This window comes from Homo sapiens, chromosome 3 (genome assembly GCF_000001405.40).
Source record: "Homo sapiens chromosome 3, GRCh38.p14 Primary Assembly".
NCBI lineage: Eukaryota > Metazoa > Chordata > Mammalia > Primates > Hominidae > Homo > Homo sapiens.
Genome location: NC_000003.12, coordinates 142627356 through 142639494, shown reverse-complemented (window position 1 = coordinate 142639494; position 12139 = coordinate 142627356). Strand labels below are relative to the sequence as shown.

General features: G+C 39.4%; 1 protein-coding gene and 1 long non-coding RNA gene across 16 annotated transcripts in view; one reads left to right on the top strand and one right to left on the bottom strand.

The window, feature by feature from the left end:
- The window catches only part of PLS1-AS1 (PLS1 antisense RNA 1), a 60902-nt gene that overhangs the window by 17316 nt on the left and 31447 nt on the right, over nt 1–12139 (top strand). Inside the window, exon 2 of the long non-coding RNA XR_001740938.2 lies at nt 4730–4787. This is a non-coding gene — a long non-coding RNA (PLS1 antisense RNA 1). The remainder of the gene's footprint in view (nt 1–4729; nt 4788–12139) is intronic.
- Nucleotides 1–12139, bottom strand: part of PLS1 (plastin 1) — a 117272-nt gene that overhangs the window by 74170 nt on the left and 30963 nt on the right. For 3 of the 15 annotated variants that reach the window (XM_047448326.1, XM_047448328.1, XM_047448322.1), the window contains exon 2: nt 5044–5267. The exons of 11 other annotated variants lie outside the window; for them this stretch is intronic. The gene's annotated coding sequence lies outside the window, so the exon portion shown is untranslated. Of the gene's footprint in view, nt 1–5043; nt 5268–11586; nt 11680–12139 lie in introns of all 15 variants that reach the window. One more of the 15 variants, XM_047448321.1, reaches the window with a different exon arrangement.

Below are 12139 nucleotides of genomic sequence, written 5' to 3'. Positions count from 1 at the left end.
CAATGTTATCTCAAGTGTAATGGGGTAAAACAGCTAAATTATAACTTACTCTTTGACAATCCGAACCCATTCCCTCTTCCATTCCACTACTAAAACCAAGTGGATTTGAAGGGGATTCAGGGTCTTAATGAAGGGACCCCACAAGGACCTCATTATTACAGACTAAGGGGAAATTCAGACACTTCAGATGTCAGCAGGGAGGGACAACCACACCCAGGGACTACACAAAGTCTCAGCAGAAGCTGGTTTAAGAGAAATGACAGCCCTGAACTCCTCACCCTCCTATCCATGCTATGATACGACGAAGTTTCTGAAAACGTACTGCTACCACACAGGGATGACAACTGAGCTCAGCCTTAAATGACTGAGTTTTACTTGTATGTTTTACCCTAAGGAAGTCTTCTATTATATAAGTACTGATGATAGAAATTACGTTATAATAAACATAAAGATAGGCCAGCTGTGGTGGCTCACACCTGTAATCCCAGCACTTTGGGAGGCCAAGGAGGGCAGATCACCTGAGGTCGGGAGTTGGAGACCAGCCTGACCAACATGGAGAAACTCCGTCTCTACTAAAAATACAAAATTAGCCAGGCGTGGCGGTGGATGCCTATAATCCCACCTACTCAGGAGGCTGAGGCAGGAGAATCACTTGAACCGGGGTGGCAGAGGTTGCAGTGAGCTGAGATCGCACCATTACACTCTAGCCTGTGCAACAAGAGCAAAACTCCATCTCAAAAATAAAATAAAATAAAATAAAATAAAATAAAATAAAATAAAATGAAGATAAGTGTTTCTTACACACCTAAATTTTGAGGCCTGGGAATTCATCCTTGTTACAGAGTTATAAATCAAATATAATACAAGCTAGTACATCATTACATTCCAAAATGAATATTGAGAAAATGTGCCTCAGAGAAACAGATGGTATGGCTAGAAAGAGTTTAAAGACACATGCTAAACACCATTCCCAGGCATCCTTTTTAGAGCACTCAAAAGCAGGCATGTTTCCGCCAACACTGAAGTGTCACTGTTGTCCCTGTGTTCAGAGACAGACCAATTAAGGGGGCCACAGTTACTACAGGTGTCAACCCTTCATGACAGCACTTCTGCCTTCTCAACACCCTATCCTTTCTTGCCTTCAACTGAGCTTTGAAACGTGGCAGATCCAGGATGCCATGCTGGCTTTACATCTTACCAGCTGTGCAATCTGGGGTATCTGACCTCTCTGGATCTCACTTTTTAGAGTGGAAGAAATAATACCTATCTCATAGCGTTGTCAGGATCAAATGAGAAAGCACATGTGAAAGGCCAGGCACTATTTTATTGCCTCTTTCAGGAGATTGCATGCTTAAAACGACTTAATTATAGAATAAAAAAGTTTTATTCTCTAGGAATTTTGGAATCTCAGGTTAAGCGAGCAGATAGACAGGTATGTTGGGGAAAAGGGATCCCCTGGGCCCCTACACTCACATCTCACACACGGATTGCAACTATCACCTTTTCCGATGGCGCTGGCTAGCTTCTTCGAGAGCAGTGACAGCAGGAGGATGAGTAGAGGAATAAAGAATGGAGAAAGAGTTCTTGGCCATTAAAGCAGCTCTAAATCTCATATATATATAGAGAGAGAGAGGGGGCGGGGGGGCCTGGCATGTTGTTTATCTACAGATAAAAAGTATTAATCAGGATGATGGAATCTGGGATAACCTTTAACTTTCTACTTTCTTTTCCATATTTAATTACATATCCTGAATACACATACACATATACACAGGAGAAAACTACACTCAATTTTTTGGACTGTTCCTTCACAGGCTTTTCACAGGCTTTTTCTTAAAACATAATTTACACAAAACTATCCACCTTTGAATATTACATTGTAAGTATTTTCCCATGATGTTAAAGCTTTTCATGATCATTTTTCTAAACTATAAATTGATTTTTAATAGCTTTAAGGTATAATTGACATACGCTAAGCTGCACATATTTAATGTATAAAATGTGAAGTTTTGACATATTAGAACATATTTGAAACTGTCACTATTAAGAAAGTGAACATGTCTATGATTCCTATAATATTCCTCATGCTCCTTGGTAATCCCTCCTTCCCGTCCTCCTCTGTTCCTAGACAACCACTGATGTGTTTAATGTCACTATAGATTAGTTTGCATTTTTGAGAGTTTTATATAAACAGAATCATGTGTACATACTCTTTTCTTCTGGCTTCTTTCAGTCAGCATAAATATTTTGAGATCTATGTTGTGTATTTTAATAGTTCATTCCTTTATATTTCTGAGTAGTGTTCTTTTGAATGGATAAATCATGAAGACACTTAGGTTGTTCACAGATTTTGGTTATTACAAAAAAGCTGCTATGAACTATTGTGTGCAAGTCTGTGTGTGGACAAACACATTCATTTTTCTTCAGTAAATGCCTATAGTAGAATGGCTGGAAATCGTGGTAAATGTATATTTGACTTTTTAAGATGCTATCAAGTTACTTTCCAAAATAATTATACCATTTTGCAGTCCCATCAATAGTGTATGAGATTTCGCGTTCCTCCACATATTCACCAACACGTGGTATGATCGATCTTTCTAATTTTGGCCATTCAAATAGTGCTATCTCACTATGGTATGATATTTACACTTCTCTGATGACTAATGATGATGAGCATCTTTTCATGAGCTTATCTACCCATCCATATATCTTCTTCGGTTAAGTGTCCAAATCTTTTGCCCATTATTTTATTGTGCATTTTGTTTTCTTAGTGAGTTGAGGGTTGTTTGCATATTATGGATATAGGTGCTTTATTAGATATATACTTTGCAAATGTTTTCTCCCAGTCTGAGAATTGTCATTTCATTCTCTTAATAGCTTATTTGAAATGCTAGAACTTTTACATTTTGATGAAGTCCAACTTATCCACCCTTTCTATCATAGACCATGCTTTTGGCGTTGTATCTTTGAAATTTTTACCAAACCCAAGGTCACAGTATTTTTTCTTTCAGAAGTTTTGTATTTTCTGGGAGTGATATTCAGGTCTACAATCTATTTTGGGTTTGTTTATAATACAAGGTATGAATCAATGTTCTTTTTTTTGCATCTGGGTATCCAATTTTTCCAGCACCATTTGTGGGCAATTATTGTTTCTCCACTGAATTGCATTTGCATCTTTGTTGAAATTCAGTTGTCCATATGTGTGAGCCTATTTATGGACTTTCTATTCTATTCCATTCACATGTCTATCTTTATGCAAATACAACACTGTTAATTACTGTAACTTTATAAAATGTCTAGAGGGGCTGGGTGTGGTGGCTCACACCTACAGTCACAACACTTTGGGTAGCTGAAGTGGGAGGACAGCTTGAGGCCAGGAGTTTGGGACCAACTTGGGCAACACAGTGAGAACCCTATTGCCACAGGAAAAAAAAAAAAATTAGCAGGTGTGATGGCATGCTCTTGTTACCCTAGCTACTTGAAAGGCTGAGGTGAAAGGCTCTCTTGAGCCCAGGAGGTCAAGGCTGCAGTGAGCTATGATGATGCCACTGCACTTTAGCCTGGGCACCAGAACAAAACCCTGTCTCTTAAAAACAAACAAAGAAACAAACAAAACACACGCACACACACAAACAAACAAAAAGCTCTAGAAATCAGGTAGCACTAGTTCTCCAGTTCTGTTATTTTTGTCCAAAATAGTTTGGGCCATTCTAGGTCATTCACATTTCCATATGAATTTTAGAATCAGGGTGTCCATTTCTACTAAAATAGCCTTCTGTGATTTAGCCTGGAATTCCAGTAAACCTAAGGATTGATTTTGGGGAACTGATGTCTGAACAATACTGAGAGTTCATCACCATGTTATATCTCTATTCAAACATTTTTTTTGAGACAAAGTCTCACTCTGTCACTCACTCAGGCTGGCGTGTAGTGGCACGAACTCAGCTCACTGCAACCTTCGCCTCCCAGGTTCAAGCAATTCTTCTGCCTCAGCCTCCTGAGTAGCTGGGACTGCAGACTCGCGTCACCATGCCCAGCTAATTTTTTTTTTTTTTTTTTGTATTTTTAGTAGAGACAAGACTTCACCATGTTAGCCAGTGAATCTCTACTTTTTAATTGAGATATGTAGACAATTAATCTTTAATGTGATTATCGATAAGGTTAAGTTTTTTCTCCTGCTATTTGTTTTCTATTTGTCCCATTTGTTCTTTGTTTTCTTTTTTCCTCTTTTTTCTTCTTTTGGATTACCCAAATATGATTTATAATTCCATTTTATCTCCTTTCTTCTCTTGTTATAATTCTCTGTCATTTTTAGCGATTGCTTTAGGATTTATAGCATACACATTTTTAACTTACTACAGCTTATCTTCAAGCACTATTACACAATTTCAAATATAGCATAAGAATATTACAGTGTGGTGGTATGTGCCTGAAGTTCCAGCTACTTGGGAGGCTAAGGTTGGGAGGATCACATGAGCCCAGGAGTTCAGAGGCTACAGTGAGCCATGATTGCACCACTGCACTCCAGCCTGGGTGACAGAGTGAGAAACTGTCTCTAAAAGACAAAAAAAAAAAAAAAGTTACAATGGTATGCTTCCATTTTTCCGCTCAAACCCCATATGTTTTATTATTTTTATTTAAAACAACTGGCTTTTAAAATGACTTAAACAATAAGAAATCTTATCTGTTTACTCATGTAGCACCATTTCTGATGCTCTTCTTTGTACAGACCTGTATTTCCTTCTGCCTTGAGGACTTCGTTTAACATTTGTCAGGCAAGGCTGCTGGTGAGTTCTTTCAGTTTTCACATGTCTAAAAAGTCCTTAATTTCATCTTTTTTTTTGAAGTATATTTTTGTTGGGTGTAGAATTCTAGGTTGACTGTTTTTCTTTTACTACCTTAATAATGTTCCTCCACTATCTTATCTATACTACACCATCGCGGGCAAAACTCAACAGCACTGCAGTGAGAAATAGACAAATCCACAAGTACAGTTGAAGACTTCAATTGAATACAAGCAAAAGACATCTACATCATTTTTACCTTTCTTCCTATGTAATGTGTATTTTTTCTTTGGGTTCTTTTAGAATTTTATCCTTATCAGTGGATTTAAACAAAACAATTATGCTTTGATGTAGTTTTCCTCATATAGCTTTTGTTTGGGGTTCACTGAGCATCTTGGATCTTTGGGTTTATAGGTTTCATCAAATTTGGAAAATTTTTTCAGCCATGATCTCTTCAAATATTTCTTCTGTTCCTCCCTCCTCCTTCAGGGAACATAAGTACACAAATATTAGACCACTTAAAGTTATCATGCAAATTACTGCTATTTTAAGTATTTTTGTAGTTCTTTCCTTTTTGCTGCATTTTAGACAGCTTCCATTGTTATGTCTCCGAGGTCTCTAATCTTTTCTTCTGCAATGTCTAATCTGCCCTTAATCCTGTCCATTGTATTTTCATCTCAAGTGCTGTAGGTTTTATCTCTAGACGTTTGAATTCGGTCTCTTAAAATATTTTCTATGTCTCCACTTAACTCTCTTAAGCATATGTAATATGGCTCTAATTACATTTTAATGCCATTGTCTGAAAAGTCTAATAACTGTGTTAGTTCTGGGTCAGTTTTGATTGACAGATTTTCTCTTCTAGTTATGGGTAATATTTTCCTGCTTCATTGCATGCCTGGTAATTTTTTACTGGATGAAAGACACTGTAAAGTTTACTTTGTTGGGTAACAGTTTTATATTCCTATAACTTTTTTTATTGTGGTAAAAAACACATAACATTAAATTTACCATCTTAACCATGTTTTTTGTTTTGTTTTGTTTTGTTTGTTTGTTTGAGATGGAGTTTCGCTCTTCTCGCCCAGGCTGGAGTGCAATGGCGCAATCTCAGCTCACTGCAACCTCCACCTCCCAGGTTCAAGTGATTCTCTTGCCTCAGCCCCCCGAGTAGCTGGGATTACAGGTGCCTGCCACCACTCCCAGCTAATTTTTGTATTTTTAGTAGAGACAGAGTTTCACCATATTGGCCAGGCTGATCTCGAACTCCTGACCTCAGGTGATCCATCTGTCTCGGCCTCCCAAAGTGCTTTACAGTTGTGAAACTAGATTACAGGTGTGAACTACTGCTCCCAGCCTTCTTAACCATTTTTAAGTATACATTTCAGTAGTGTTGATTATATTGCATTGTCATGCAACAGTTCTCTATAACTTTGTCATCTTGCCAATCTGAAACTCTATACCCATTAAACACTAATTTCCCCTCTCTCCTCTCCCAGCCTCTGGCAATCCCTTCTAATTTGTTTCTGTGATTTCGACTACTCTACATGGTTCACATGAGTGGAATCATACAGTCTTTGTACTTTTGTCACTGGTTTATTTTGCTTAGTAAAACGTCCTTGAGGTTCGTCCATGTTGTAGCATATGACAAGATTTCCTTCTTTTAAAGGCTGCCTGATATTCCATTGTATTTCTATACCACATTTCCTTCATATAGTCACTTGCAAGTGGACATGTAGTTTGCTTCCACGTCTTACTGTTGTGACTAATGATGCAATGAACATGGATATGCAAATATCTGTTTAAGATCCTGCTCTAGGCTGGGCACGGTGGCTCATGCCTGTAATCCCAGCACTTTGGAAGGCCAAGGCAAGTGGATCACCTGAGGTCAGGAGTTTGAGACCAGCCCGGCCAACATGGTAAAACCCCATTTCTACTAAAAATATAAAAATTAGCCGGGTATGGTGGCATGTACCTGTAATCCAAGCTACTCAGGAAGCCAAGACAGGAGAATCGCTGGAACCCAGGAGGTAGATGTTATATTGAGTTGGGATCATGCCACAGCACTCCAGCCTGGGTGACAGAACAAGACCCCGTCTCAGGGGAAAAAAAAAAAAAATCCTGCTCTAAATTTTTTCAAATATATACCTAGAGGTGGAATTGCTGGATCATATGTTAATTCTATTTTTAATTTTTTGAGGGCCCTCCATACTGCTTTCTATAATGGCTGCACTATTTTACATTCTCAAAAGGGGTCCAATCACTCTGCATCCCCTCAGCAACACTTTTTAAATTTTCTATTTGTTTGCTGTTGGTCATCCTAATGGGCATAAGGTGATATGTCATTATGATTTTGATGCATATTTGTTTTCTCTTATGAATACAGATGTTCTTCAACTTACAGTCATGTTATATCCTGATGATGAAAGTGCATAGAAAACTCGCTTTTGACTTACTTCAAATTGTGATGGGGTTATTTGTATATAACCCCATCATAAGTGGAGGAGTGTACTGAATGTGTATAATTTTTGCATTATCATAAAGTTAAAAAATTGTAAGTCGAACCACTGTAAGTCAAGGACCATTTGTAGTGATATTGAACATCTTTTTATATGCTTATGGACCATTTGTATGTCATCTTTGGAATGTCATCTACTCCAATCTTTTGCCCACTTTTTAATTAGGTTGTTTTTAGTTACTGAATTACAGATCTTCTTTATATATTCTGGATATTATCCTCTTATCAGTCATATGATTTACTAATATCTTCTTCCACACCTAAGGTTGCCTTTTCACTCTACCGATTATTTCCTTTGATGTGCAGAAGTTTTTTGGTTTGATGAAGTCCCATGTGTCTATATGTGCTTTTGTTGCTTGTGTTTTTGATGCCATATCCAAGAAATCATTGCCAAATTCAGTGTCCTGAAGCTTTCACCCAATGTTTTCTTCTAAGAGTTTCAGGTTTTACATTTAGGTCTTTAATTCATTTTGAGTTAATTTTTGCATATGGTATAAGGTTCAACTTCTTTTTTTTTTTTTTTTTTTTTTTTTTCTAGAGACAGGGTCTCAACTCTGTTGTCTAGGCTGGACTGCAGTGGCATGATCTTGGCGCACTGCACCCTCGACCTCCCAGGCTCAAGTAATTCTTCCACCTCAGTCTCCCGAGTAGCTGGGACCACAGGCACACACCACCACGCCAGCTTTGGGATTTTTGGTTGTTTTTGTTTTTTTGAGATGGAGTCTCACTCTGTCACCCAGGCTGGAGTGCAGTGGCATGATCTTGGCTCACTGCAACCTCCACCTCCCAGGTTCAAACGATTTTCCTACCTCAGCCTCCCAAGTAGCTGGCTAATTTTTGTATTTTTAGTAGAAACGGGGTTTCACCATGTTGGCCAGACTGATCTCCAACTCCTGACCTCCAGTGATCCGCCCACCGTGGCCTCCCAAAGTGCTGGGATTACAGGCGTGAGCCACCATGCTGGCCTTTTTTTTTTGTATTTTTTATAGAGACAGGATTTTGCCATGTTGCTAAGGCTGGTCTCAAACTACTGAGCTCAGGTGATCCACCTGCCTCGGCTTCCCAAAGTGTTGGGATTACAGACATGAGCCACCATGCCCAGTCTCAATTTCATTCTTTTGCATATGGATATCCAATTTTCCAACACCATCTGTTGAACAGACTGTCTCTGCCCCATCGTATAAGTCTTGGGACCCTTGTCAAAAATCATTTGACTCTCCCTCTATGTGTGTGTGTGTGTGTGTGTGTGTGTGTGTGTGTTTATTTACATGCTCTCTATTCTGTTCCATTGGTCTATATATATGTCTTTATGCCAGTACTATACCATCTTGATATCAGACTGCTGCTTTGTAGTATATTTTGAAAGCAGGAACTGTACACTCTCTATTTTTTTCAAGATTGCTTTGGATATTCAAGGTTGCTTGAGATTTTCTTTTTTTTCTTTTTTGAGACAGAGTTTTGCTGTTGTTGCCCAGACTGGAGAGCAGTGGCATGATCTTGGCTCACTGCAACCTCCACCTTCTGGTTTCAAGCAATTCTCCCACCTCAGCCTCCTGAGTAGCTGGGATTACAGACACTCACCACCATGACCGGCTAATTTTTGTAATTTTAGTAGAGATGGAGTTTCACCATGTTGGCCAGGCTGGTCTCGAACTCCTGACATCATGATCTGCCCACCTCGGCCTCCCAAAGTGCTGGGATTACAGGCATGAGCCACTGCACCCAGCCAGGATTTTATATTTCAGAGTGTTTTGTTTGTTTTTTTTTTTTTTTTTTTTGAGGCAGGGTCTCACTGTGTTGCCCAGGCTGGAGTGCACTGGTGCAATCTCAGCTTACTACAACCTCCACCTCCTGGGCTCAAGCAATCCTCCCGCCTCAGCCCCCTGAGCAGCTGGTATTACAGGCACCTGCCACCACGCCCCGATAGTTTTTGTCTTTTTAGTAGAGATGGGGTTTCACCATGAGACCAGGATGGTCTCAAAATCCTGGCCTCAAGTGATCTACCTGCCTCGGCCTCCCAAAGTGCTGGGATTACAGGTGTGAGCCACCTTGCCAGGCCAAAATTTTAAATTTTTTTTTCTGTTTCTGTAGGTGGGGGGAAACCCTATAACCATTCTTGATCTTTATTCTTGGATGCAGTTAAATTACTTGGAAAGAGTTTGACCCTTAGGTCTTGCTTTTAAGCTTCATTAGGCAGGACCAGCACAGAAGTGAGTTTAGGGCTCTGATTCTCAACAGGAGATGACTATGATCCCCAGAGGACATCTGGCAATGTCTGGAGACATTTTTTACTTTCACAAAAGGAGGCATCACTGGCATCTAGTGTGTTGAGGCCAGGGACGTTGCTAAACATCATATAATACACAGGAGATCCCCTTAAAACAAAGAATTATCAAGTCTAACATTCCTATAGTGCTGAGGTTGAGAAACCACACTGTCTGTGGGCTAATTATTCCCCATTATTGAGGCAAGAGGCCTCTGAGTACCCAATAAGCTGTACATTACTACATGGTTTTTTACCGTGTGGCTGGTAAGAACTGGCACTGTTCCTGGTCTGTGTGAGTGCTAAGCACTATTCCTTCTAATCCTTCCCGACAGTTCTTTCCCAGGTCTCCAGTTAGTTTCCTCATACCCATGTGTGCTAATCAGAATTCTGATGAATATGTGCCAGGAACTTTATATAAATTATTTCTAATCCGGCCAGGCACAGTGGCTCACGCCTGTAAACCCAGCACTTTGGGAGGCCGAGGCGGGTGGATCATGAGGTCAGGAGTTCGAGACCAGCCTGGCCAACATGGTGAAACCCCGTCTCTACTAAAAATACAAAAATTAGCCGGGCATGGTGGTGTGCACCTGTAATCCCAGCTACTCAGGCTTAGGAGGCTGAGGCAGAAGACTTGCTTGAACCTAGGAGGCAGAAGTTGCAGTAAGCCAAGATCGCGCCATTGCACTCCAGCCTGGGTGACAGAGTGAGACTATGTCTCAAAAAAAAAAAAAAATTATTTCCAATCCTTAAAACAGCCACCAAAAGTAGCAGTTGTTATCTCTATTTTTACTTATAAAATCAAGCTCACTAAGGTTAACTAACTTGCCCAGTAGCACTCAGCTAGTAGGCACATATTAGTATCAAAACAACTACAGTCATATTGAAACAAACTTGAAACAAGTGTGAGGAACAAGTCCACATGATCACTATTCAATCTAAGGCTGGGTCCAGGAAGCTTCCCCTCTGGACCTGCCATAAGAGAATTTCGTCATTCTGCTTACAGAGTTAATCTGACTCTATACAGCTTTTGAAACCTTAGAATATTTTACTTCAGTTAACTTCATTACTTAAAATAGCATTAATTGGCTGACCCAGTGTTTTTTGTTTGTCTGTTTCAAAGTGATGGGTTTTTTCATTAAGTCATAAGGTAGTATGAATGTCTCAGGACAAATTCACTAGAGATTTCATTCTCAGCTAATAACAATGACAAATGTTGTGAAAGAAAGAAATAAGTTTGAAAGTGATTCTTCATGGTGGCCTAAAACCAAAGACTAAGGAAGACCACCATGATATTATAAGTAACAGGTGCCATTATCAAGGTAAATTACATTTCACATTTAAGTGTTTTCTAATTTATAAAGCACTTTCAGATGTATTATCACATCTGACTTTCACATCAGCCCAGTGAGCTAAGGAACAGGACTGAATATTACATATTATAGAATTATTAGCTGTTTCCTAATATGTAAAATGAGAATAAAAATAATATTATTACACTACATAAATTTATACACATACACATATGCATGCACACATGCACACTGCATGCACATGTGCGCGCACACATGCACACTGCATGCACATGTGCGCGCACACACACACACTATATTCTGGGACCCATCTTTATTCCCATTTCCACATATAAGGAAACAGATTCAGAGAGATCAAGCTAAACAGCCTAGATCATCCACTAGTAAGTGTCAAAGCTGGTAGTATTTTCAGTGTGCCCGAGTCCCAGTTCCATGTTCCTTTCAAAAAACCGAACTGACTCCTGAATGGCCAAAAGCAATGATGTCATGAATCAGGTTCTCAAGGGAACCAAGGTATCATCTTTCTACATGATATTCAAGAAAGAGCTCTGAGCTTCTTTTATGTAGACATTGAAATTAGATGACTCAGTATAGAGGTTTACAAAACAATTCTTTCTGTACATGGTTCTTTTTAGTTTCTCAATTCTAACAACTCCAAATCCTCATTTTTTTCTAAAAATTAAAATATGATTGGCCCAGCATGGTGGCTCATACCTGTAATTGCAGCACTTTGGGAGGCCAAGGCAGGTGGATTGCTTGAGGCCAGGAGTTCAAGACCAGCCTGGGCAACACAGGGAGACTCTGTCTCTATTAAAAAAAAAAAAAAGTCTGAAAAAAAATAACTGGACATGGTGGTACATGCCTGTGTTCCCAGCTCCTCAGGAGGATCTCTTGAGCCTGGGAGGTCGAGGCTGCAGTGAGCCCTGATAGCAACACTGCACTCCAGCCTGGGTGACAGAGCGAGACACTGTCTCAAAAGCAAAACAAACAATAAACAGCTGTGCCTCATAAAAAGCAAACATGTACACATATAACCATAATTCAAGTCTACTGATTAATGTAGAAGTAGAATTCTATAGAAGAAAAAAAACAGATAGCAGATACTTCAAACATGGGTCTGACAAAAATTTTCCTGAGAGGGTAGAGTTTAAACTGGATGGGCCTTGAAGAGTAAGAAAGCTTTTCAAGTTCCATTTTGGATGTAACAGATATTTCCAAAATCTTGACTTAAAAAGCAAACCTTAATATGTCACTCCTATTTCTGAAC